Below are 26846 nucleotides of genomic sequence, written 5' to 3' on the forward strand. Positions count from 1 at the left end.
AAAGATGGAATGGCAACATGGTCCCTAACCTTAGAATGCTCTGGTCTACTGGGAGAAACAAAATGCAAAAGAAGTAATCAAAATAGAAGGATGTCCAAAGTACTATAGTTTATATTCAGATATACAATATAAAACCATCACGGCTGGGCACAGTGGCTCACCCCTGTAATCCTAGCACTTTAGGAGGCTGAGACAGGTGGATCACGAGGTCAGGAGTTCAAGACCAGCCTGGCCAAGATGCTGAAACCCCGTCTCTACTAAAACTACAAAAATTAGCCGGGTGTGGTGGCACATGCCTGTAATCCCAGCTACTCGGGAGGCTGAGGCAGGAGAATCACTTGAACCCAGGCAGCAGAGGTTGCAGTGAGCCAAGATCATGCCAACGCACTCCAGCAAAAACAAAAACAAAAATCACTAAAAACCTCTTGTTCACCTGGTGGTTCCAGTTAGATAAACAAGAGAAACAAACAAACAAACAAAAACAAACAAAAAGCACAAGCTTTCTGAGCTTCTCCAAAGACCTTGTTTTGGTAGTTCTGTTCTTCCTACCTTGTCTTTTAGGAGCATGCGTTTCCACAAGTCTACTTGCTAACAGGACCCAGGCACAGTTTAAAGAAAAAGAAAAAAATCTGCCATCAGAGCATCAGCCACAGACATGCAGCAAAAAGTCTGGTGATAAATCCCAGGGCCCTACATGATCTGGCCCCTGTCTATATCCCTAGCTCCATCCCATGCCACTGTCCAGATCTTCTGGTCTCTCTTCAGTTTTTCAATGCACCAAGCTTGTTCGCACCTCAAAACCTCCACACAAGATGTTCCTTTACAGAGAATGCTCTTCTCATCACTCTTAGTCTACCTAACTCCTTTTCCATCAGGTCTTGGCTTACGTGTCAGTTTATTCCAGCCCCAATCTAAATGTCATCCCCTTCCACAACATTCTCTCTCACACTACTCTGTGCTTCTTCACAATACTTATCATGTGTGTGATTATATATTTATGTGATTACTTGATTAATGTCCGGCTTCCCAACAGACCAAGTTCTATGTGGATAGGCACTGTTTATTCAGCATACTATCCCATACCGAGTACCTAGCCTGGTGCCTGGAATACGGCAGGGGAATGAATAAATGAATGAATTACTGAGTGAACACAAACACAGAGTGAATATCTATGTACAGATTCAGATCAAGTTAAGCAGAGTGACAGGAAGGACTGTAAGAAGAGTGTATGGGTCAGGCGTGGTGGCTCACACCTGTAATCCCAGCACTTTGGGAGGCTGAGGTGTGTGGACTGCTTGAGCCCAGGAGTTTGAGATCAGCCTGGGAAACATGGCGAAACGCTATCTCTACAAGAAATAAAAAAATTAGCTGGGCATGGTGGTGCACGTATAGTCCTAGCTACTCGGGAGGCTACGAGGTGGGAGGATCACTTGAACCTGGGAGGTCAAGGCTGCAGTGAGCCATGATCATGCCACTGCACTCCAGCCTGGGTGACAGAGTAAGACCCTGTTGCGAAAAAAAAAGAAAAAAAGAAAAAGTAGTATATATGGCCAGAACAGCACTTCATTTCAATCACACAGGGTGATCCCAAACAAGCTTTCTTGCCCCCGAGGGTCAACTACACATCAACTCAGTACACTCTGGCCTACAAGCACATACACCAAACACATGCAGAAAGGTTAGTGAGTAATTACAGAAAGAAGAAAAACATCAGCCTCCAGATGAGAGGATAAATAGTTATATAGGGCTGAGTTCTAGCTCTTTTGCTTAGGGGTTAAAATATGATACTTGTGATGGTCAAATCTCTACTGCACTATTTAATGTCTAAGAAAAACTCCTAAACTCGACCACTCTGGCCTAATGCATTTATCCATCTTATATTGCTCATTCCAAAAAGGAAACACAGGTTAAGAGACTATGGACGAGGAGAGACATAGCCTATCCCCAGAGCTGTCTCAAGATATCCACATGGCGGCACAATATTCTGTGAGAAGCAGTCAGTGTCTTCTCAATGTGACACCATGCCTCTTCTTAAATCATTATGCTCCCAATTGGAAAACAGACAAGTCAGCTGCTCTTATCAACAAGTGTTCCAGAGTTTGAGGAAGGAGCAGCAGCTCTTTCTTCAGGGCTTAAACTGAAGTTCTTTGAGTCCAAGCTCTGAAGAAAGACCTGCTGTTCCTTCCTCAAACTCAGCCCTGAACTTAAGACTGAAGTTCTTAGACTTCTAAGTTCTTTGAGAAATACTTGGGAAGATAACTCCCACACTTGAGTCCATGCCTATAGGCTGAAAATCTCCCCACACCATTCCCTTGGACTAGCTATTAGGAAGAAATTAAAGCAAAGGGAAAACGTTCCCTACAGGCTGGGCAGAAGCAGGGTTCTGAAATCGCCTCTTCAGGCTAACTTATTTGGTAGCCCAAGGAACTCATCAGTTGTTATTTCACGAAATGTAGAATCCCTGAAAAACTCTAGAGATACACAACACCCTTGGAGAGCTTCAAATAAGCTGAGGGGAAAAAAGAAGCAGCATTTTATAAAGTCAGGCTGAAACTTCATGAAGTTAAAGCTCAGCACTTTGCAGGCAATAGTACAAGACCCAAGAGAAACATGATTGGATGTCTGCTATCTTAAAGGAGGTATCATAAAAAACAAGTCTAAGGCTGGACACAGTGGCTCACGCCTGTAATTCCAGCACTTCGAGAGGCCAAGGTGGGGAGACTGCTTGCACTCAGGAGTTCAAGACCAGCCTGGGCAACATGGCGAAACCCAGTCTCTACAAAAAATACAAAAAAAAAAAAAAAAAATTACCCGGGTGTGGTGGTGTGCACCTGTGGTCCCAGCTACTGGGGAGGATGGCTTGAGCCCGGGAGGCAGAGGCTGCAGTGAGCTGAGACTGTACTACTGCACTCCAGCCCGGGAGGCAGAACGAGACCCTGTCTCAATAAAATAAAATAACAACAAAAAATCAAGTCTGTAAAACTAATGGACAGAACAAGAAAAAAATGCTTTTCATTCCACCTAACAACTTTATTTGATTAATCCTTTCCAAACTATGAGGAAAATTGCTGAGGCTAAATTTCTAATTTTTTTTTTTATCAGAAGAAACTACAGTGGAGATAGGTTAACTACCTTGCCACTAAGTGGATGGCATAGCAGGGAAAAGAAAAACAATTCTAGAAAAAATTCTAGAAAATCAGAAGACCTGGAACCTAGCCTTGGTTCTAGAACTTATTAAAATACAGTATTTGGCCTTAAAGCAGCCAAGAGTCACTCTTCAAGTCCTAGTTTCCTTGCTTGGGAAAAAAAGGATCCACAAATTCATTTGGATCAACTAAATAAGGGGTGTGAAAAGATCTCAATGCTGCAATATCCTGCAGAATGCCCTTGCTATCACTGGATACACAGGCTTTCCTGGTCTCACCTCAGTGCTCTCTTTCTTTGCACTGCATTAACCTTCTAAGCAGGATTAGCTGATTCTTTTCCAGACAGCCTTCAACCAGGAACAAACTATTCTGCAAGGTGGGGTGCCATGTGTTCTAGATATTCCAAAAAGCACCAAATATTTGGGTGCTGGGTAACTCTAGCCAGCAAATATCCTTCTTTTTTCAAAGGATATTTCCAGGCTACCATCCTCAATCCAGATCATTCAAGAGCCCTGCATCTGCTGGTCCTTATCAGGTTACAGTGATGTTACACACTCCTAAAAGGGAATTCACAGGAAATCTACCCAGTGGAAAGATGGCTTAGGGAGATGTCTTGCTCTACAGTCACAAAGCAGACTTCAATCTGTTTCTTCAAACCTAACTTCAATCTGACTGGATTAGGTCAAGAGACTACATTCTAAGTGTGACTCTCCTATTGACTAACATTGTTACCCTGAACAAATCACTACTTCACAGCCTCAGTTTCTCTATGATTATAGTGAGGGGATCATCTATGATTCTCCAATCTGGCTGCTCATTAGAATCCTTTGGGAATCTTTTCTAGACTACTGGGCCTTACCTGAGATACTGGATTGGACTCTCAAAGGGAGAACCAAATATATCTCATGTCCCTTCTGCATGGCGCAACTATGGATTATGAATGTCAAGTAAGCTCAGCCACACTCCCTCCCACCTTCCCAGGAGCTGCCCACCACTCTCACCTGTACTCCATGTTGCTGGCATTCTTACGAGTGGCACTCAGTTCCACCCCATTCTTTGTCCAGTAGCTGTATGTAAGGGTGTGAGAGCTGGAGGTGAGGTTACACTGCAGGGTGACAGGGAGAACAGGGCTGTCTCGAATAATGACCTCTTCACTGGTGACAATCCTTGGCTCTGTAATAAGAGTGCACAATGATAGGGGGCAATAGCCTTCCATCCTCTGTAGCCCTGGCCTGAGAGTTGGACGGGGTAGGAGGGGGAAACTAGAAAAAGAGGGAGGGCAGACAGGACCACATGAGGAATTTCACTTTACCACTTTGGAGGAAGTCAAGAAAGGAAAAACAATGATTATAAGCAAATGACCACTAGCGCAGACAACAGCCTGAAGACCAGTTGGCCTAGACGTGAAAGAATGGGAGTATTACGGGTGCTTGTACTGGTAATAATCCACTTACGTTTTTGAATACCACCTTTTTATAAGAACCACCAAACAATTCGGCTTCAATTAGACAACCAGGCTCCACCTTGCCATTCTGAAGACAAAGGCCATATCATTTATATACCTATTATAATAAACTCCCTATTGTACCACTGGGCCTTGGAACAGTAATAATTACATAATACATGTATAGCTTTCCCCACATTTAAATGTTAAACCTATGGCAAACCATAGGCCATTATTTATGCAGAAAAAGACATTGTGGATTCTAAAAAGCAAACTTCCTATTGGAAGTCACTTGCATTTTCCAAATTTTGTGGAGGCAAAATTCTTGAGAAAGCATCATCAGTTCCTCCTCTCCAGCCATACCTATTCCCAAAACAAGTTGTTGTTTTCAGAATTGCACTTTAAAACACATTCCATTCTGAGAAAATATAACTAGAGTGCAATATTGTGTTGGTATTATGGGCTCCCAGAATTTTAGAAAGGCCCTTAGAGTTCATTGAATCCCACTCTTTTTTTAAGAGCTGGAAAAGTGAAATGATTTGTGCAAGGCCGTAAGTATTACTAATGGCAAAGCTGGGCCTAGAAGACATATCTGACTGAATTCTCTATCCTTGCCCCCCATCCCCAAGACCACCCCCACCACCTTGTGTCCTGGGCAAGGTATATATACTTCACCTTCTGATTCTATTCTGCGCTTAGATAACCTGGGATCACTAGCTTATCTACAAAAATAACCTACTTGAGTCAAATATTATAATACATTGAACAAAAATGTTTAAAATCACTCTATATTATTCCTGGAAGCTTCATCTTTAAAGCACTTTGAAATCTATCACTGTATTAAAGTCAAGACATTTCTATGTTTGTTGTCTTTTGTTAATGTGCTTTGTCTTTATTATTTCCCCAGGCTTAGTTTTCTCTACTTTTGATCAAACATTTCCAGGTGAAGTCTACACTAACCATCTTTTCCCAACCACAATAAGAGGTATTTGCTGTTTGTTTGTTTTCCAATTCTCTCTCAGAAACCCTTGACTGACTTCCCATTTCCCTGTGTCTAGTCACTTCCTATCTACAGCTTTGCAGCAGCTCCCCTCACCATTTTATACAGTATTGTGCTGAGCCTTAACGTGAGGAAAGAACTCTCTCCCTCCATGGGAACTAAGTTGCTTGCTGTTCAGGGAGGGGGAAAGCATGGGGAAGTCGTGGGATACTTGGGAAATGTAATGTCTTAAGGACCTCCTAACCGATGTAACATTTCTGACTTGTAGAGTTAATGTCTTTGAAGAAACTTGTAATAATGCAAAACCTTAAGTTTGCTCAATTAACAAATTAGTTCTATTTTCCAACTCTGGCAAAAGGATAACGGTTATCTTCCATTCAGCACTGGTCCTTATCAGTAACATCAAACAGGGTCTCTATGTACAGATAATGGAGGCATAGCAGCCACTAAGACAGAAGCAGATGCATGTAAACACGTTAGCGCAGTGGTGTCCCATGGTTTCCAAGACACACTGGACAGAAGCCAAATCCCTGGGCCTTAAGAAGTCGAGCAGAACGGCTGCAAACCCTGCAATGGAAGGCGCACACACACCATCAGCAGAAAGCATCACAATTCCAAGAAAAATCAAAACCAAGCAAAAACAAAAGAGAAAAAGATAGAACCAGTACTCCACAGAAGAGAAATTAAAAAAATATAAAGGCAACATTAAAACCCAAACACACTTTTAGGTTTTTACTTAATTTTTATTATCCAATTTCATTTTCTGTCCCACTTGGGACTCTCGTTCTGGGTATTCCTCTCAGACTGCACTGAGAAAGGGTAAACTCTGAGAATGAGGCCAAGAGCTTCCAGATGTTTAAATACAAGGAGGCCAAAGTAAATGCTACTCTTACCTGTGGCGATGCAAATGACCACTGCAGCTCAGGGAGATTAAGAAGTTGATGAAAGCAACCTGGTAGACTTTCTGCCAAGTATTCTTTGAAGGCAAAGGAAAGCACTTTTTCCCTTAAGTGTTAAAGATCCAGGAGAGAGTCACTGGGAGCAAGTGGATAATTTAAATAGGTTTAAATATGATTCTGCACCATAGGAGGGTTGTGGGGTAGGGTAACCTGCCTCCTGTGATTGCTGTATATGAAAAACAGTGCTACACCAAGTTCCTTGGCCATGGTGCCTCAACTGCATTCTGCACCAGGATGAAGGTGGGGCTTTTATTTTTGTGGCCAAGCGCTGCCCAAAGTCCAAGAGAGATGAACATTTAGGAGAAGTTCAAATGTGTTTACCTGCCACTGATGTCTATTTAAAAGCAGTGGATAGGAGACCCTTACCCCAGCCATCATGCATATATAAAGAACATGCTATGGCCAGAGAGATACCTAAAAACTGGGCACACTTCTCTTCTTGCCTTACATACTCAATGAGCTTTGGGGAAAGTACTACCAGGAGGTCATTCTTAGATAGAACACCTGATGTCCCCATAGAGCAATGTCTTTTGGGACGCTGAGATCATAAAACAGTCCAATTAGAGTTGGATCCAGGGTGTTTTAAAAAAAAAAAAAAAAAAGCAGCAGCAGCAGCAACAACCTCCTGGCTCTCCAAAACAGCTAACTTGGGTTAACTGACTGATGGGGAAGTCTGAAGAGAGTCTAGCCAGGATTTGGATTTGATTCAACCACATGCAGACAATTCTAAGTAAACTGGGGAATGCTATGTATTCTCGGGATTGGTAGGTAGGTACCCCAATGCCTCATCTTTTTCTAGCCCCTTGGCATGGCCATTCTAGCTATGAGTCAGGCTCTTGGAAGTATAAGTGCAAATGCCCAGCCCAGTCCATACCTATAAACTTCCACAGACCTTTGTGGCCATGTAGGTAATTCTGCTTTTATAAGGAAAGGAGCAAGGGGGCAGGAGAAGGAGGCGTGCAGGGTAAAAATATTGTTAAAAAAAAAATCACTGGGTTAATGTTCCCCATTTTCACATAGACAAGGTTTTCTTTTCCTCTTTCCAGAAGCAGGTTCTTTGATTCAACAGTGCCAACTGCAGCAGCCTCTCCTACCACTGCCCTACAAAGGACTCTTTTTTTACCCATAGGATCTTCAAGTGGCTACAAAGAACAGACACTAATTTGCTATTTTCCATCTAAGTATATAGACTCAAGGCCCATGTCTTACTACTTTATGTTATTACCAAATTCCTCATCAAAGTAAGATTTTACTATTCTTACTTTCTCTAGATCAATCAGCTCTTTAAGCTGGAACTGGCTATAGATCTCTCATTGTGTCCTCAAAGAGAAGGTGAAAAACCCAGAGGATCTTTCCAAAAGTGAATGTCCCCTCAATTATAACCAGGTTTGATGTGGGGCCAGAACTCTTCTTGGCCAGGAACGTTGGTTCTGTGGTGGCTTCTCCCTCTCTCTGCTTCTCAACATAAGGTAGCAAGTCACTTTCAAGAAAGAGAGAGAAGTGGCCACAAAAGTCCCGGTGTCATATGTCTCACGCATACCTGCTACAAGGAGAGGATTCTGAGCCAGCTGGTCAGCTCACCCCATCACTATGAGAAACCAGGTTGGAAGTTAGTTTCCTCTTTTTTCAAGACACAAAGAAAAGGCCAGTGTGAGTGGTCCCCACACTATGTCTGGAGTTCCCATGCTCTGGGATAAGGTACACTGTGCCAACAGCTACTCATCAGAGTCAAACCGTGAACAGGAATCAACTGCAACTCTGACTTCCAAACAGTGTGATGGGCTAAAAAAATAATAATTTGCAGCTTAGTGTCACCTGGCTCCTAACAGCAAAACATAAGAAGGAAGTCCCAGGCTGCTGCTTTTAAAGAGGAGACTAATTAGCAGGCCCAGTGAGGAGTACACTGCTGCAGTAGAGGGCTGTTATCAGAGAAGCACATGCCACGGTTTTAGAAAAGAAAAAGAGCTGGAACTATGAAAATATCCAAGCTTACATGCCACCCAACAACCAAAACACACCACCACACTGCACCCATGGCAACATTCCCATCACAACAAGATGACACCAAGTCACAGTTAAAGGAAGAGGCTGGGCAGACACAAACTTAAAACCATAGAGGTGAAGGCAGCTACTTAGAGAGCTTCAAACAGAAGAACAGAAGAAATAAAAAGTAGTTAGACTGGGGAGAGAAACAAAAATAGAAAGGCACCAGAGAAGAAATCAGCAAAAGTATAGCAGGAAACCTACTACAAAATCAAAGGGGAGGGAAAACCATTTCAACACTACCCTCCTTGGACTGCCTGGTTTTATGAGTTTTAATTTAAGCTTCCCAGTTCTCCCTCCCCAACTCTTCCCAACACAGATGATTTTGGACAGTCACGGATTTCCTCAAGTTCTTTGTTCCTGAGAAGAAAGACACAGAGAAGGGTTGGGGGATAAGGGAGGCAGAGAGAACGGCAAAGAAAAGAAGAAAAAAAGTTGCCACAGATGTTTTCATACACTACAACCAGAAGGGTCATGGGATTGAAAAAAAAACGAAGACAAGGGGTGGGGTGAGTGATCATACTGGGGAAGAGGGAAAGGATGCAGAAGGGAAGGGTCATTGGGCCACCTCTAATGACTACAGTACTACTACTGTAGGGTGCTGGACTCACTCTGAAGGACGCTTATGGTGGCCTGGGCTCGAATCCATGTTATGGAGGGGTTTTGCCTCAAGTCATTCCTCTTGGGGTCGTTGCTGGCCCTGCACTCGTAAGTCCCAGAGTCCTCCAAGGTGAGCCGGGTTATTCTCAGCACACTCACGCCGTTTGACCCGTAGGCGGTGTTTACGGTGACACGGCGCTTCCGAGCACCGTCCCACAGCTGTCTGAAAGACTCTGCCCGGTTGACTTCTGCGTACCACCACTGGATCTCTGGCGTGGGGCTCCCGACCACGTCACAGTACAGCTCAAAGGCGTCCCCCGTGAGCTTAGTTTCTGACATGGGCGACTTGACAAACCCAGCTAGAGGGAGGGGGAGCAGGAATGCAGTGACAGGCCAATCAGAAAAAAAAAAAAGAATCAACAGGTGTTAATAGTAATTTAAAGAAAAGAAAAGAAAAAAGCAAATGAGTTGCAAAGAACAAAAAAGGATTCATTTTTAAACTATAAAGAGACAGTACAGCAATTCATACAAGCTTTTAGAAGAAGAACCACACCCTGGGAAGCTTATGAAGCAAAGGCAGGCTAATTACAAGCTGGGGCAGCCCAGGTGCTGGCCAGGCAGAAGCAAGCCCACTGGAAAGCATTTTAGCAATGGGCCCAGCTGGTAGGAATGAGAAAGCCTCAGGTCTTGGGAAGAGCCTCTTTCCTTAGAACACAAACCATTTATTACCTTTTTAAACTCAGGCAAGTGATGAAAGATAACCAGAAGAGGCAGTAGTTTTATATGCCAAATCAGGATCTCTCTTTTGGATGGGCAAACGCTTTGTTAGAAATGCAGTGTCTTTTGCAAGCCTCAACAAGAAGTATTAAATGACCTACTGGTGCCTTCTCTTGGGATTCAGAGTTCAAATTTCAACTGAAAGAGTAGCAAATTTCTCTCTCACACAGGATTCTATCCTGGGTTCGATTAGACTTTCTCCACCTCCTATTCTTCCCTGGGCCTATGGCAAACAAACAACCCAGTTGTTTAGCGTTAGGCAGCCTCTTCCTGAATGCAGACCCTCAGGAGAACAAGACAGTCTGTACTTCACACCACAGTGAGATATTAATACTTTGTGGGTCAGCTCAGAAGTGGGACCAACAATACCAGCAACCCAACTCACTGCCAGCTAATGGAGGGACTGTGCCCTCCATAACCCCATAGATCCATTACCTAGAAAAATCTGAAAAGCTATGGTATTTGACAGGCTCCATACAGTTGAATTGCCTGGCTTCTAGAAGCCAGCTCAGAAGAATGAGAAATGTACCCTGATGAATTAAACTAAACACTAGGGTGAAAGCCAGGCCTCAACCAACACTCTTAGGAACTGCCCAGGAACTAAAGTTGATGCCTACCTCTAATTGCCCATAATTTGCTTGAGGTTACACTTCCATAAGACAAGGTGGAAATGGCAGAAAGAGTTAAAAAAAAAAAAAATCCAGGCTTAGTTTAAAAACTTGGAGTTAGGTCCATAGGAAACAAAATCAGAGTGCAAGCATACTCTCTCTTACCCTTCCACCCCACCTAGGGTTCATTCAGCATTTCTACTGATTCAGACAGTATCCGAAGGTATAAAGAGAGACACTAAAAGAGGGCATTCTGATTGGCTTGGAAACGTCCCCTGGGAGGCCTGCTGCATAAGCCAAGCCAGCCCCTGTGCAGTAAGCAGGGAGTGAGGTCAGGATCTGCCAACATCAAATTAAGAACATTCCAGAGGAAAGGATGAAATAAATGGAACTGTTTTCCTACAGTCCAGAAGCCAAGGATGTTAACAGGGCTAGCTGAAAATGGAGGTTACTAAGTGGAAAAATTCCTGTTTACATCCATAGCAGTATTTGCCTTTGGTGATAACCCCACACCATGGACTAAGAACATTAATGGAGGTACTATACTTACTCAAGTAGAGGCCAAGACCTCCAAATTCATACTAGTCTTTCAATTCCTGACATTTTCAGACTCTGGGGAGCACAGGAATGCAGTGATTAACAGGCTTAGACTAAACGTTCTGCCTTTAATATGCCATTTTAAACTACCTCTTCAGATCCAGCATGCATTCCTTGTAAGGAAATATCTACCAGAGGCCCCAAGAAGCCCAACAGATGTCATTCTCAGATGCAGGAGAAGCTTTAGAATTACAGAAAGGAGCCCCCAAGCCCCTGCATGAAGAGCTGAGCTCACTGCCCAATAAAGTGGTATCCAAGGAGCCATGTCTCGGTCTCACAAACTACCACCTGCCCACCTGTCAAAGTCAATGCCAGCTAATATAAACAAAGAAGTAAAGGAGGGCCGGGCGTGATGGTTCACACCTGTAATTCCAGCACTTTGGGAGGCTGAGGCGGGAGGATCATGAGGTCAGGAGTTCAAGACCAGCCTGGCCAGTATGGTGAAACCCCGTCTCTACTATAAACACAAAAATTAGTTGGGCATGGTGGTGCTCACCTGTAGTCCCAGGTACTCGGGAGGCTGAGACAGAAGAATCACTTGAACCCAGGAGGCGGAGGTTGCAGTGAGCCAAGATCGTGCCACTGTACTCTGCCCTGGGCGACAGAGCGAGACTCCGTCAAAAAAAAAAAAAGAAAGAAAGAAAGAAAGAAAAGGAAGGGAGGGAGGGAGGGGAAGTAAAGGAAGTTGGTTTTATTTATTTTACTACTGGCTCAATCACCAGAGAAAACTGGATATCAGTAAATCCCTGAAATGCAGTAAAAGTATTATTCTGTTTTAATCATATTCTTGACCATAAGTGGTAATCACAAATGGTCTTATCACATTATCTGTGAACTTGGGGAGTTACAGCCTCTCAAATGCGGTAATTATGTACTCGATTATGCCCTAGAACTGTTAGTGGATTTCTTTTGTACTTTTTCCCTTCTTCTGTATTGTACTTCAAAGCAGCCTTAGACTTAAGCCTGTTTATCAATCTGTTGACAATGCTAATGTAAAAAAGATGCCTGAAAGTATCCTTTCACCAAGAATCCATCCAATTCCACTGTAACCCCAAGTCCTAATAACACACAAGTCACAGGTAGCTGAGAAACAGTCTGACTATGATTCCCACTGCACACAACTGGGCGAGTCACTCAGCCAGATCATGCCACCCTGGGCAAGACTTCCTGCTAAGAGTAAGGAATGCTGATCTGAGTCAGTTCAATTTTCTACCTGTATCAAGGAAAATGGGACCAAGACAAAAATGTTCTTTGCATTAGTAAATTATAGGATGTATATTTAAATGAACTTTTAAAACACAAGATAAAAAACCCTTTAAAATGCCAACAATGGTCTTTGAAGGCCATTATTGTTATTACCATTATTAGACATATAGAGTAACAGTGACATTTTCTAAGTATGCATTATATGTTTAGGCAATGTGCTAAGCACTTTATTCATTATCATATTCAAAATTCATTTATTCATTATGATAAGTGCCATTATAATTTTTCTTAAAGATGTGGAAACTAACGTCCAAAAAAGTTAAATATTTTGCCCACGGTCACAAGCTAATAACAAAGAGTCTGGCCTGGAATCCAAAGTGAAAGCATGGTCTCTTAACACTTACCACAACTGTGGTCAATGTGTCTCACTGGCCTGAAAAGGTTTTTGTAGTTACTTAAGTTAAAGATATGCTTTGTCACCACTTAGTTTAATTAATAAATTAATTAATAATAATTCCTGGCCACAAAAAGCCAGGAACCTTTGACCAATTGTGCAACATACTATGATCACTAACTCCATAAAATTATAATCTTACTAGAGAATGGAGATAGAGAAGCACTGGGTCAAAGAGTTCTTAAAGCAACTGGGGGGAGGGTGAACAGTGTGAAAAGATAAGATGATTCTGAGGCAAGACTGCCTCTAGTTCTGATGATTCCAATGCCCTGCTCTGGAGAAGGCTGGCTTCAGAGAAGGAAGGAATTTACAAGACACTGGAAAAATTTCTCTGATGCTGTAGTCAGGAGCCAAATTAATAAAGGGCAGCACCTGAAAGTTTTATAAAACTCCGCAGTTTGCAAAGAGCTTCCACATACATCACATCTCATTTCATTCGCACAGTTCCACAAGGTTCATACATAGGGCAGGTGCGGAGACAGGTTTATGACTTGCCCAAAATCACTTAGGCAGTTAATCCTGAGTGGGGCTGGGACTAGAATGCAGGTCTTAGCTTAGTCTAGGGTTCTTTCCAATAAACTGTGCTGCCTCTAAACAAACTAAGGAATTCCTTGATAGCTGAACACTCATCAAAAACCATGAAAAGAGATCTATTCCCCCTCCAAACAGCATGGAAAAGAAAGAAAAGAAAAAGAAAAAGAGAAAAGAGAAAAGAACCCTCTTTACAAAGTACTGTGAAATCACAATTAGCAAGGGAAAGTTATTAGCAACCATCCACCTTATTATCCATCCAAAATTAGCTTCAATTCAGGAAAAGAACTGGCTCTCAGCAGCAGCAGCAGGAGGTTCAGAGCCTGACTCACTGCCCTGCCTTTCATTACTAAGGGCTTTCAAACAAATATGTACCTTCAACAAGAAAGCACACACTGCCTAAAGTTGGGAGGCCAACAGAAGCATCTGTTTGCTCTCTAGGTCAAGGGTCATCCAATATTTTGGAAAAACCCTAAATTTTGTAAGACAACCTCCTACCCCACCCTCTTCCCCACCATCGTCTCCACCCACTATCTTAAGTGACTGGGCCCAGATCTGCAAGAGTTTTGGGAAAGTATTAATATCAGTGCATTCAGAGCAACAGTGATAAAGAGGGAAACTGAACAGTGGTTACTGGCTTTGAGGGAGGAAGAGACTAGAAGCTGATGCTGGAGGGGGTAGCAGGCAGAGCATTAAAAATGGAGGCAGCAAACCCAAGAGAAGCGTAATGTAAAATTGCATAACTGGGGATGGGGGATGGGAGGCAAAGATGACAGCTGGGACTAGCAGCCGGAGAAAAGGAGGAGCTTGCTGGCAGGAAAAACTGGATGTGTGGATATGTAGCAGAGGGTGAGAAGAAAAAGGAAACACAGAAGAGCAAGTTGAGCCCAATCCCAGGAAAACTGCTTTCATATATGCCCTAAGGAAGTAAAAAAAGCTAGCCTAGCCCTATATAGGAGAGACTATCATGATTTTTCACATTTACCTCCAGGGCAACCCACAGAACAAGAAATCAGACTAACTTTCTCTCTCCCTCAACTGACTACTGCCAAGGCCAGGCCTTTAAGTCTTGCCTGCTTTTGTCACCTCTTTTAAAAACAGCTGTTCCCTTCAAACCCCCTCTACCTCTAATTCCCTGTGGCTGGCTCATGCTGTTCTCTCCTTCGTTCCTCGCAATAAAGAGAAAATGACAGCCAAGATCATAAGAGCGTTTCTCTCCTCTGTCTCTCTCACACACACACAAATTCAAATCGTCTACCTCAAAATAAAGACTGAGCAAGACCCACTGACATCTAAACGTGAATACAGGAACTATGAGTATTTCAAATGTCTAAAGGACCCTTAACTGCTGTGAGGCTGTCACAGACTTGAGCCTACACAAACTACTGTAGAGCCTGCCTATCCTTCCTGTTAATCAGGAAACAGATCATTCATCACTATTCCTTAACACCAAAGGCAGGTCAGAAGTCTATATGCACTCATTCTGTGTGTACTGACCAAGGGTAAGGCAGGCTTGAAGTCCTGGGAGCAGAGGAAATGGGGTAACCTCATTCTCTGCAGCAGGAAGAGGTACCACAGATTAGTCTCATCTCTAGGTAGAGATGGCAGCAATTACAAAACATTTTCCAAATTCAAACCTGCTCCTTCCACAGGTACCTTGATCAGGCAGATATGACAAAAGTTTGGAAATTAAGATCATCCCTATCACTAGCTTCTAAACCAGGGTCCACCCTTTATTCTGAAATTATACCATTCAAAATGACCAAAGGCATCTATACCAGCCAGCCTTCTGCTTTGGAAAAATAGGGGAATCTAGTTCATGCCAAGAGAAACTACATAGTTTAGTGACCAAATGCAGCAAACTCTAAAATCAGTTGTCTGGATTCACATAAGGCTCTGTCACTAACTGTATGACTGTAAGCAAGTGACCTAACCTCTCTGAGCTTCATCTCCCTAATCTGTAAAACGGGACTAATAATAGCAGCTACCTCACAGGGTTATTGTGAGGATTATATGAGATAACATAGCTTAAAACAGTACCTGACACATAGTAAGCACTCAATAATGTTAGCTATTATTATATGTCTCCATAGAAATAAGTGCTAAACAGGCCACGGGCAGCAGCCTGCAGCACTGCTCCACAACAGGCTGGGAAGCAGAACTTCACATCCAAAATGAGCTTAACTTAAAATCCAAGTTCTTCAAGAAACAACAAAAAACTAACCTTAACCTTCCAAATAAAATGAGAACCAGAACGGAAATGTTAACTGCAGAAGGGAATGAAAAAGAAGGGAATTCTTCATTCCTTCCTATCTTTAGAGCAAACTGGAATGAACAAAGTGATAATAGCAGACACATGTATGTGGACTCAAGGAATTAGCAAGTGTTTTCAGAGTTATAAACCATTAAATCTAAGATATTATGAATAATCTGGAAAGTCCAAGAATAATAAGAATAAAGAGAGGCAGTACAAATTCTCCTTTTCAAAAAAAATTCTTTTAAAGTAGAAAATAATCCTATCAATTATAAATCAGGCTGCTTAACAATATTTGGGAAGATACTGGATATTGAACAGGCCAAACTGTTAATTTACAAAATATAAGATGTAGTTATGGAATCTGAGATCATGTCACATTAGCTTAATTTCAGCCTAAGAAAAGGTGTCAGGTTTTGAGTCAGCACCTCCACAACACAAATTCTCTTAACTTTAAGCAGTTTCTTCAAATGGGAATGATGCCACTTTCTTTATAGGGTAGTTGTGAAAATCATGTTACATTATGTGTAAGAGTTCTGTAAACTACTCTATGCAAATGTTAAGTTACTTTAGGACAGACAAGAAATAAGCATTTGGTATGACGGATCTCCCTCAACAAAAACTTTCATTCAGTCCTGTTGCCAATTCCTACTGACAAGCTAAACAAGCATGATCTACCTAGATCTACAGGTTTAAAAAAAAGTCAATGACAAAAAAGAAAAAAATTTAAAAGTATGATTTAAAAAAAAACATGGGCCGCTCACACTCATAATCTCAGCACTTTGGGAGGCCAAGGTGGTCTGATCGCTCGAGTCCAAGAGCTCGAGACCGGCCTGGGTAACACGGCAAAAAACTGTCTCTTCAAAAAATTAGCCAGGTGTGGTGGTGCAAGTCTATGATTCCAGCTACTCAGGAGGCTGAGGCAGGAGAATCACCTGAGTCCAGGAAGTTGAGGCTGCAGCATGCTGGGGTCACAACATTGCACTCCAGCCTGAACGACAGAGGAGACCCTGTCTCAACAAAGAAAGAAAACAAAAATTATGGGAATCTCTCAACTCAGAAAAATATAACCAAAGTTTTGCATATTTCAGGGGTCTTCCAGACCCTGAGTCTAGATTGTACTACTGTTAGATGAGTGAACAGTTAAGGGTCTATTAAGATGAGAGCTCACCTTATAGGGAAATGAGCCATGGTTTAAAAAACTTGGGATGGATTTTTCCATTTCTTCAACCTCAGTTTCCTCATCTGAAAAATGGGGACAATGATTCCTATCTTCTTCATAAGGTCATGGCAAGATTCACATGAACAATGTACATAAAATTACTTTGTAACCTGTAAAGCTATAAATGTAATAACATGTCAGTTTTATGCAAGCATTCTACTCTATTAGGTAAAGAATGATCTAAGGCCAGGCGCAGTGGCTCATGCCTGTAATCCCAACACTTTGGGAGGCTGAGGTGGGAGGACTGCACCAGTCTGGACAACATGGTGAAATCCTGTCTCTACCAAAAATAGCTGAGCATGGTGGTATGCACCTCTAGTCCCAGCTACTTGGAAGGCTGAGGTAAGAGGATCAATTGAGCCTGAGAGGTTGAGGCTGCAGTGAGCTATGATCATTCCACTGCACTCCAGCCTGGTGACAGAGTAGAGACCCTGTCTCAAGGGGGGGGGGGGAAAAGAATGATCTAAACTAGTCCTGAGTGTTCTATTAACATACCTCAAAAGCAGTGTGGAAGAAACTGGGGGCAGGGCTCACACACATCCATGAAGGAGGGGGATGTCTACTGGACTGACTGTTTCCAAATCTTTCCATTTTCCAAAAGAAAAAAGCACTGCAAACCACTGATCCAGAAAATTAACATGTTTCAAATAGAAAGTGACATTAAATGAGGTAAGGCTGCCAGAAATTAATAAAAATGATTTAGAATAAATTCTGGTTAAAAAAAAAAAATCTTACAAAAATAGAACCTGACATCAGACCTGAGAAACAGAAAGAATTGGAAAATGTAGGTCGGGTGCGGTGGCTCATGCCTGTAATCCCAGCACTTTGGGAGGCCGAGGCGGGCAGATCACCTGAGGTCAGGAGTTTGAGACCAACCTGAACGACATGAAGAAAACTCGTCTCTACTAAAAATACAAAACTAGGTGGGCATGGTGGCGCATGCCTGTAATCCCAGCTACTCGGGAGGCTGAGGCAGGAGAATGAGGTGAACCCAGGAGGGGAGGTTGCGGTGAGCTGAGATCGCACCACTGCACTCCAGCCTGGGCAACAAGAGCGAAACTCACCTCAAAAAAAAAAAAAAAGAATTGGAAAATGTTAAAAGCAAAGAGAAGAATCAGCTCACAATTGAACCCCTCTTGCATTCCTTTTGTACGTCTGTCTTCCAGGGTTCCTTCCTATGATCCTGAATATCCTCACATGGACTCTTAACAGATTGAAAGCTCTGCCTGTATGTTACTTATCAGAAAATACTATGGCCATCATGCGGTGGCTCACGCCTGTAATACCACCTACTTGGGAGGCTGACGCACAAGAATCGCTTGAATGCAGGAGGTGGAGGTTGCAGTGAGCCAGGATCACACCACTGCACTCCAACCTGGGTGACAAAGCAAACTACTTCTCAAAAAAAATAAAAAGAAAATGCTAGCCACTTGCAGGCTTTTACAGTACTCAGGTAAACAGCTTCATTATCAAAGACACTGCTGGAGACTAACAATGTTTCTCCTTCACCCCAGGGAGGAAAAAGGCATTTAATTTACTCTTGAGCAGTCAGATCCAAGAAAGTGTGGCCAAATACAATAAATCAGGGCCCATTTTGACTTTGACATCAAAATGACCATGACTTTTTTAAAACTAAGGATGTGTCTGTCCAAGGAGAAAAATGCAGCAGCCACAAACTATTGTCAAGCTAGTATTTTCAGGGGAATTTTAGGTAATTCACTTCCCAACTTCACAAATAGTACTTAAGCTGCTGGTCCCTAAGAGAAAAAGCTGGTTTTGCTAGCCATTAAAAACCAGGAATGTCTCATGCAGGGGAAACAGAAAAATGCACACAAATAAGCTATATCTTAAAGAGAGTTATTAATGAAAGGTCTGGTTCAAATATGTAAGTGAAACCCTTACATATTTAAGCAAATGCTCATAAAAGCTCTCTTATCCCAAGAGATTGTCAAAAGTAGCTATGGGCAGATCTAGAACTACATCCAAAATGGAGCTTTGAGGCCAAAAACAATTTTAATTAATTAAAAGAAAAATAATACCAGTTACAAAACATTTAAAGAGTGTACTTCAACTGACTCTCCAGTTAGCATTAAAGCCAAAATGAAAACAATATACTAGAAAGCTTTAATACTTCAATTCGACAAAGATTCTTTGCTTGACCAATATGTAGGCTTCTGAACCTTCTCCTAGGCCCATCTGTGAACTTCCTTGTAAAATTCAGTTTTAGCAAAGAACCTTGCTAAGTCAGTTTAGCAAGAACCCCCATCTTTGATCATCCTCAGTATCAGATCAGGTTCTTCAGCCTCCACCATTCCCTAGCTGAGGTCTGATCAACCTGGCCTATCCTCAGTGAGAATGTTTAGGTTGGCTTAGCCAAATCCTCCTTACCCCTAATGTTTCCTCTTAGTAATTTTCCATCCACTGACCCCCACCTGCCTATGCTGTATTCAGAGCTGAGCCCATCTCTCTCCCCAGTGCAGAATCTCACTGCAGTGGTCTGGTCCCTACATCTATCACCATGTTCTAAATAAAGCCTTTCTTACCATGCTTTAACACGTTATCATTTTTTTTTCTTTAGCAAGTTGAATAAACCATTCTCAAAAGCCATAGGTAATTACTGCTCAAAAGCTAATCTTTGCCAAACTTTTTCTGTGAAATGCACCTGTCTATAAATTCAGCGTAACTTCTGATAACAAGCTTACTTTCTGTCTCTGACAACACAGTAACAATCAGGACTTAAATGTTAAGATACCAAAATTCATCTCATTCTTCCATCATCATATATCGCATGAATATGACAATGAACACAAGCAGTCCAAGCTGATAGTCTAAGTATAATCTAGAAGACATTTTAACTGAAAGAGGTAGTAAGCTACTTCTCCCCACCTTTTTTTAAACAGCCATTCTCAGAAACCACAGAGTCAAAAACTCTGACCAGAGGGAAATTCAAGTTTTGAATCACATCTCAGGATGTTAGGTAACCGTAGTCCTAGTCTTCCCAGCTGATGAACTATTAATATTTCCAAAGCATAAATAGCTTATAGCAGAAATCACACTGAGAACTTTGTCATTACATACAAAAGGCAAAGCTTTCCTTAGATGACAAAATTCTAAAGCAGTAATTCTTAAATTTTACCATGCAGCAGAATCATTTGGAGGGCCTGTTAGAACACAGACTGAGGCCTGAGACTGCACTTACAAGTTCTCAGGTGATGCCCGTGCTGCTGCTCCAGGGACCATACTCTGACAATATCTTGGAGAATCTGAAACTGTGCAAATATTGTGCAAATTTTGAGCTTGTTTAAATGGAAGGAAAACAAAGGCATAAGAGCCACACAGATGTTTCTGAAATCATATAAAGATTCTCCCAACAGCTGGGTCTGTGATCCATGGCCAAAAGAAGTAGAGTAGCAAAAACAGTTGCTAAAAAAACTGTGTCACTATGATTTCAAAACAATGACTTTTATCTTGGATTTGTTCAGTTTTCCAGTGTATACACTGACAGGATGCTTCAATTTACCATTTATTGAGGTCCTGTTTACCAAGGACTGTGCACAGGGATAAACTTTGTTCCTAAACAGATTTCAACCTTGCAAGACACAAGACAGAATAATCAAAATACAATACCACTGACAACAGCACTTCTATGACAGGTATGTACAACAGGAACATATATAAAAAATAATTTTGTTGGACTAACGTATACCTAGAAAGCTCATGCATTGAAATCTAAATCTAGCCTTGTCAGTTGCGGGGAGAGATGGTCTTGTTCTAGGCAAGAGGAAACACCATGAGCACAGTATTACAATTAGTAGGAATGAGTTCTAGATAAAGGTGAAAAAATTCAACATTTTTTGAGTGCTATTATATGTCAAGCACCTATTAAGTGCTCATGCTATTCAGAAAAATATCCTCAAGACCTCACAATATAGGGAGAATGACAGGTATCCTGTAAGCTATGAAGAGCATATTGGGCTTCTTTCCATAGAACAAGGGGTATGACTGCTCTGACTGGTGGCAGTACAATGGCTGTCAGAAATAAGGAAGTCAACAAGGAGTTAAGAAGCTCCTTCAATAATCCAAATGAAAAATAGTCTGAACTAATTAAGAGTGGCTGTGGGAATGGTGAGAAGGTAACAGACATGAGAAATGTTTACAAGATAGAATCAAATGAACTTATTGACGTGGGGTGGGCAGTGATACTATAACTGTAATAAGGGAAAGCAGGCTGAGCTGGCTTTACAGACATCTGGAGATATCCAAATGTAGTTAAAAATAAGGATCTGATATGCAGGAGAGAGGTGGAGGCTGGAAATATGCACTTGGGAATCATCAGCTTATGGACGTTGAAGCCATGGGAGGAGATGAGCTGACTCAGGGAGGATGAAAAAGAAACTGAGAATGGAACTTTCTACATAATTATACTTCTTTCCAAATGATTCACCACTGAATGCAATGCACTTTCACTAGGATAAAATACCCCAAGTTAGGAACTAATTCCCTTCCCATATCTAGACAACACTTTTAATAATGTCAAGTAAATATTTTATTACTTTGCTTCAGAAGACTTAAAACTCCATGTCAATGACTCAGATATAAGGCACAGTATCCATACCAGAAGGTCTCAAAGCAGCATTAGACTTCGCTTGAGTAGAGTGTGTAATGCTATTAGCCTTTACAAAGAATCCTGGCCGGGCGCAGTGGCTCACGCCTGTAATCCCAGCGCTTTGGGAGGCCAAGGCAGGTGGATCACCTGAGGTGGAGTTCAAGAGCAGCCTGGCCAACATGGTGAAACCCCGTCTCTACTAAAAAATACAAAAACTTAGCTGGGCGTGGTGGTGGGGGCCTGTAATCCCAGCTACTCGGGTGGCTGAGGCAGGAGAATCGCTTGAACCCAGGAGATGGAGGTTGCAGTGAGCCGAGACGGCGCCATTGTACTCCAGCCTGGGTGACAGAGCGAAACTCCGTCCCTGAAAACAAACAAACAAACAAAAAACACACACAAAGAATCCTTACCTTCTGAGAAAAACAGTATCCATATGGTTCCAAAGATTACCTTTGGAAATGCTTTTTTCCCCTTACTTTTTTATATGACACATAAAAATTATATTTATATGACACATAATAAGTATATATATTTATGGGATACATAGTGAAGTTTCAATATATATACAATGTGTAATGATCAGATTGGGGTAATTAGCATATCCATCATCTCAGACATTTATCATCTGTGTCGTGAACACTCAGTATTTTCTATTTTAGCAACATGAAAGTATGTATTACTGTTATAGTAATCCTACTTCTAGTATTTTCTAGCTATAAAACACTACAACTTATTCCTCCTATCTAGCTTTAATTTTGTGTCCTTAAACAAATCCCTCCCTATTCCTTTCTTCCCTCACCTTCCTGTTCTACTTTTTACTTTTTTTTTTCTTTTTTTAGAGACAGGGTCTCGCTCTTGTCACCCAGGCTGGAGTGCAGTGGCATGATCATAGCTCACTGTAACCTCGAACTCCTTGGTTCAAGCAATCCTCCCACCTCAGCCTCTAGAGTAGCTAGGACTACAGGTGTGTGCCACCCCACCCAGCTAAGTTTTTTAGTTTTTTGTAGAGATGAGGGTCTTGCTACGTTTTTTGTACAGTATGCTAGTCTCAAACTACTGGCCTCAAGTGGTCTTCCTGCCTTGACCTCCCAAAGTACTGGGATTACAGGCATGAGCCACTGTACTGGCCTACTTTTTACTTCTATGAGATCAACTTTTTTTTAAGCTTCTGCATATGAGTGAGAACATGCAGTGTTTAAATTACCATTCCTGGGTTATTTCACTTAACATGGAATGCTTTCTGTGGAGAAAAAGCTAACGCATAATCCCAACCAAATTTTCTCAACTTTTAAAAAGGAAAACAAGCGGAATCTCAGCCTAAAGCCCAAAGCTAAACCAACTCCCACTCTGCAGTAAAGAGTACTGAAAAGAAACAAAGCCAATATGCCACGGACCAGTGATTCTAGAGAAAATATTAACAGAAATAGTAACCCCTATTTTAGACTGTGATAAAAGTTCATGAAATATTACAATGTTTATGCCCCTTTTCCTACCCTTCTGGTCCCCTCCAGTATTTCTGTAAAGATTAAACAAATATGATTTTGGAAAATAAGGATATGATAGTGATACACAGGCAACTGAACAAGAGACTCTTCACTTCCACAATGGCATGAAATGGGAACATTTTCCCCCCTCTAGGCCCCAGTGGTTTCTCAATTTAAAAAAAATTGAGGATGCTCAGCAGAACTTTACTGAGTCTTATTTTGAATCTTGAAAAATGAGACAAATTTGACTCCGTTACATATGGACCATATGGACAATGTGCTGAAACTGCAAACATTCCCACTACTTAAGTTGTGATAGTAGCAAAAATTATTTATACAGTTACACTGAGCCAGAGTCCAAAGAATATTTGATATTTGGTATGACACAGTTTATGAAGATCCTGTATTTGTCCCTGAATTCTCAACAACTCATATAATTATTGTTCATTCAGGAAGACAATCATTCTTAAAGTAATACGCAATTTCACTCCCATTAAATGGGAATTTATCACGTATTCAACTCACTGTTAAATAATTAAAAGTTCCCACTTGTGGAATTTAGTATGCCAATCTCGAAACAGACTATCAAGAACATTTTCTTAAAATTAAATATGCTCCCAAACAGTAAAATACTATTCAATGCAAAAACAAAACAAAACAAAACAAAAACAAAACAAACTCTCAAGCCATGAAAAGCCAAGGAGAGACCTTAAATGCATATTACTAAGTGAAATAAGCCAATCTGAAAAGGGTACACAGTATGATTCCAACTACATATATGACATTCTGAAAAAGGCAAAACTATAGAGACAATAAAAAGATCAGTGGTCCCAGGAGATAAGAAGGAAGGAGGGATGAAGAGGTAGTACACAGGGGATTTTTAGGACAGTGAAACTATCTGTATAATACTCTAATGATTAGCGTATGTAATTATATATTTCTCAAAACTCATAGTATGCACAACATCAAGAATGAACCCTAAACTCAAAGTCCTAAACTGTGATCTTTGAGTGATGATGTGTCAGTGTAGGTTCATCAACTGTAACAAATGTACCACTCTGGTGGGAATGTGATAGTGGGGGCTGTATGTGTGTGGGGACAGGGGGTACATGGGAACTCTCTGTACTTCCTGCTCAATTTTGCTGTGAACCTAAAATTGCTCTAAAAATGCAGTCGATTTTTTTAAATTAAAAGTATCAACTGAAAAATACTTATAATCATGTACTGAGGTTTATTTGCACTTGACACTGAGCATATCTGATTGGAATTTTTTAAATGATACATAAATGCAAAGCTACTTTTGAGCAAGCAAAAATAACTTCTGCTCGGACAAGCTAGTAATGGTCACCTATCTTGTGTTTCTGATGCAAGCACAGAAAACATGGGACAGGTTGGGCCTAGTGGCTCATGCTTGTAATCCCAACACGGGAAGGCCAAGGCAGGAGGATCGCTTGAGCCCAGGAGTTCAAGACCAGCCTGGGTAACATAGGGAGACCCTGTGTCTTACAAAAATGTGAAGAATTAGCCAGGCATGGTGGTATGTACCTATAGTCCCAGCTACTCAAGAGGCTAAGGTGGAGGAACACCTGGACCCAGGAGGTCGAAGCTGCAATAAACCGTGATCACACCACTGCACTCTAACCTAGGCCCACAGAGCGAGATCCTGTCTCCAAAAAAAAAAAAAAAAAGGAAGAAAAGAAAACATGGGACTCTTAAACCTTAAGATCTATCAGACTGGCCAGGCGCAGTGGCTCATGCCTATAATCCCAGCACTTTGGGAGGCCGAGGTGGGCGGATCACGAGGTCAGGAGATTGAGACCATCCTGGCTAACATGGTGAAACCCCGCCTCTACTAAAAAAAATACAAAAAATTAGCCGGGCGTGGTGGCCAGTGCCTGTAGTCTCAGCTACGTGGGAGGCTGAGGCAGGACAATGGCGTGAACCCGGGAGGCGGAGCTTGCAGTGAGCAGAGATGCGCCACTGCACTCCAGCCTGGGCGACAGAGCCAGACTCTGTCTCAAAAATAAATAAATAAATAAACAAATCTATCAGACTTCAACTAGGCTATCTTAATTAATGCTCTCCTAACTCCATTAAACAGAAATCTCCCATCATAAGGAAAAGAATGTCATAGGAGGAAATCTCCTAAGCCTTTATCACGTTAAATGCCCAGGAGAATAAATTACACTTATGGGTAAGGTAACCATATAATTTGTCATCTAAACCTGAATCCTTCTGAGAGTGAAAGGGGTGCTGTTAATAATTCTGACAGGGCAACAGGCACAAACTGAGAATTATGATTACTCAACTTACAGGGAACCTGGAGGATGTATTATGTAAGATTAAGCAATTAGAGTGGAGATATCCCAGAATAAAATTCTAGGTCAATAAACTTCCAATTCTAAATACAGTATATTTGTGATTTAAAAACCTTCCCCAAAACCTGGAGCAATAATTTTCCAAGAATCCCTTTGATTGTTAAATATCTGAGTCTCAGATTCAAATGTATCAAGTCCTCCAAAGCACCTCCAAAATTCCTATTTTATTTTTATCTATTAAAATTATAAATCTTCCACCTTATTCTTCTACATTCAATATTAATTGGTAACTATACCACCCTTAGCTAATTTTTCCATTAACTAGAACCTATTGTCTTAGAATAAAGTACACAATTCAAGGCCCTACTGCTCCAAAAGAAAATGCCTCTCTTGATTTTAAATGGTAGTATACAAAGATCAATGAACAGTAATATTTACAAAAGGTAGTTCTCCACTTAGTAATTTCAGATTATCATATTTAGTAAAATCATAAACTCTGGTTAAAAAAAAACAGGCCAAGATTGTGTCAGCTAGCAATGATGCTCTAGAATTTATTACCATATACTCTCTAATAGTGTCTCAGAAATGAATACGAAGCTACGCGGTAACAAAATGCTGGACATATCTTTTTTTTTTGAGACAGAGTCTCGCTCTGTCGCCCAGGATGGGGTGCAGTGGCACAATCTCAGCTCACTGCAACCTCTGCCTCCTGGATTCAAGCGATTCTCCTGCCTCAGCCTCCCAAGTAACTGGGATTACAGGCGCCCACCACCATGCCTGGCTAATTTTTGTGTTTTTAGTAGAGACAGGGTTTCACCATGTTGGCCAGGCTGGTCTCGAACTCTTGACCTTGAGTGATCTGCCTGCCTCAGCCTCCCAAAGTGCGGGGATTACAGGTGTGAGCCACCGTGCCTGGCCTGGACATACCAATTTAAATTGTAACTTTTTGAAAAGTATATTTAAGCCAGGTGTGGTGGCTCACGCCTATAATCCCAGAACTTTGGGAGGCTGGCGCAGGTAGATCACTTGAGCTTAGGAACTCAAGATCAGCCAAGGTAACCAGACAAAACCTCATCTCTACAAAAAATACAAAAAAAAAAAAAAAAGCTGGGCATGGTGGTCCACACCTGTAGTACTAGCTACTTGGGAGGCTAAGGTGGGAGGATCATTTGAGCCTCGGAGGTGGAGGCTGCAGTGAGCTGAGACTGTGCCACTGCACTTCAGCCTAGGCAACAGAAGTAGACCCTGTCTTAAAAAAAAAATGCATATTTATAGAAATCATTCCATTTAATAAATACATACACATATATTAAAACCTGAAACCTCAGTTCCCTTGTGTATATAACCAGAAGACTGGAATGGACAATTTCTAAGGTCCTTTCAGCTTTAATATTCAGCAAATCTATGTATTTGTAGATGTAATTGATGAATTAATTCAAATGCCATATTCTATGAATCCATGAAGATGCACAAGGTAAGAAGAAAGAATATATGTTAACAGATTATAAATTATTTGGAAACCAGGATATGTCTCTAATTTTGTTTCCCCACAGTGCCTTGCTGCACACATTATACTCAATATTTGTTAAAAGAAAGG

General features: G+C 41.5%; 1 protein-coding gene across 8 annotated transcripts in view; it reads right to left on the reverse strand.

Annotated features, from left to right (window-relative positions):
• The window catches only part of NPTN (neuroplastin), a 73376-nt gene that overhangs the window by 27805 nt on the left and 18725 nt on the right, over positions 1 to 26846 (reverse strand). For 5 of the 8 annotated variants that reach the window (XR_007064440.1, XR_007064439.1, XR_007064438.1 and 2 more), the window contains exons 2-3: positions 9204 to 9551; positions 4148 to 4319 (exon numbers count right to left, since the gene is read on the reverse strand). Coding sequence is in view for 5 of the 8 variants with exons in the window: in NM_001161363.2 (NP_001154835.1) it covers positions 4148 to 4319; positions 9204 to 9551 (520 nt within the window). In the remaining 3 variants the exon portion in view is untranslated. The remainder of the gene's footprint in view (positions 1 to 4147; positions 4320 to 9203; positions 9552 to 26846) is intronic. The other 3 variants (NM_001161364.2, NM_017455.4, XM_047432389.1) reach the window with 1 other exon arrangement.

Source organism: Homo sapiens, chromosome 15 (genome assembly GCF_000001405.40).
Source record: "Homo sapiens chromosome 15, GRCh38.p14 Primary Assembly".
Lineage (NCBI taxonomy): Eukaryota > Metazoa > Chordata > Mammalia > Primates > Hominidae > Homo > Homo sapiens.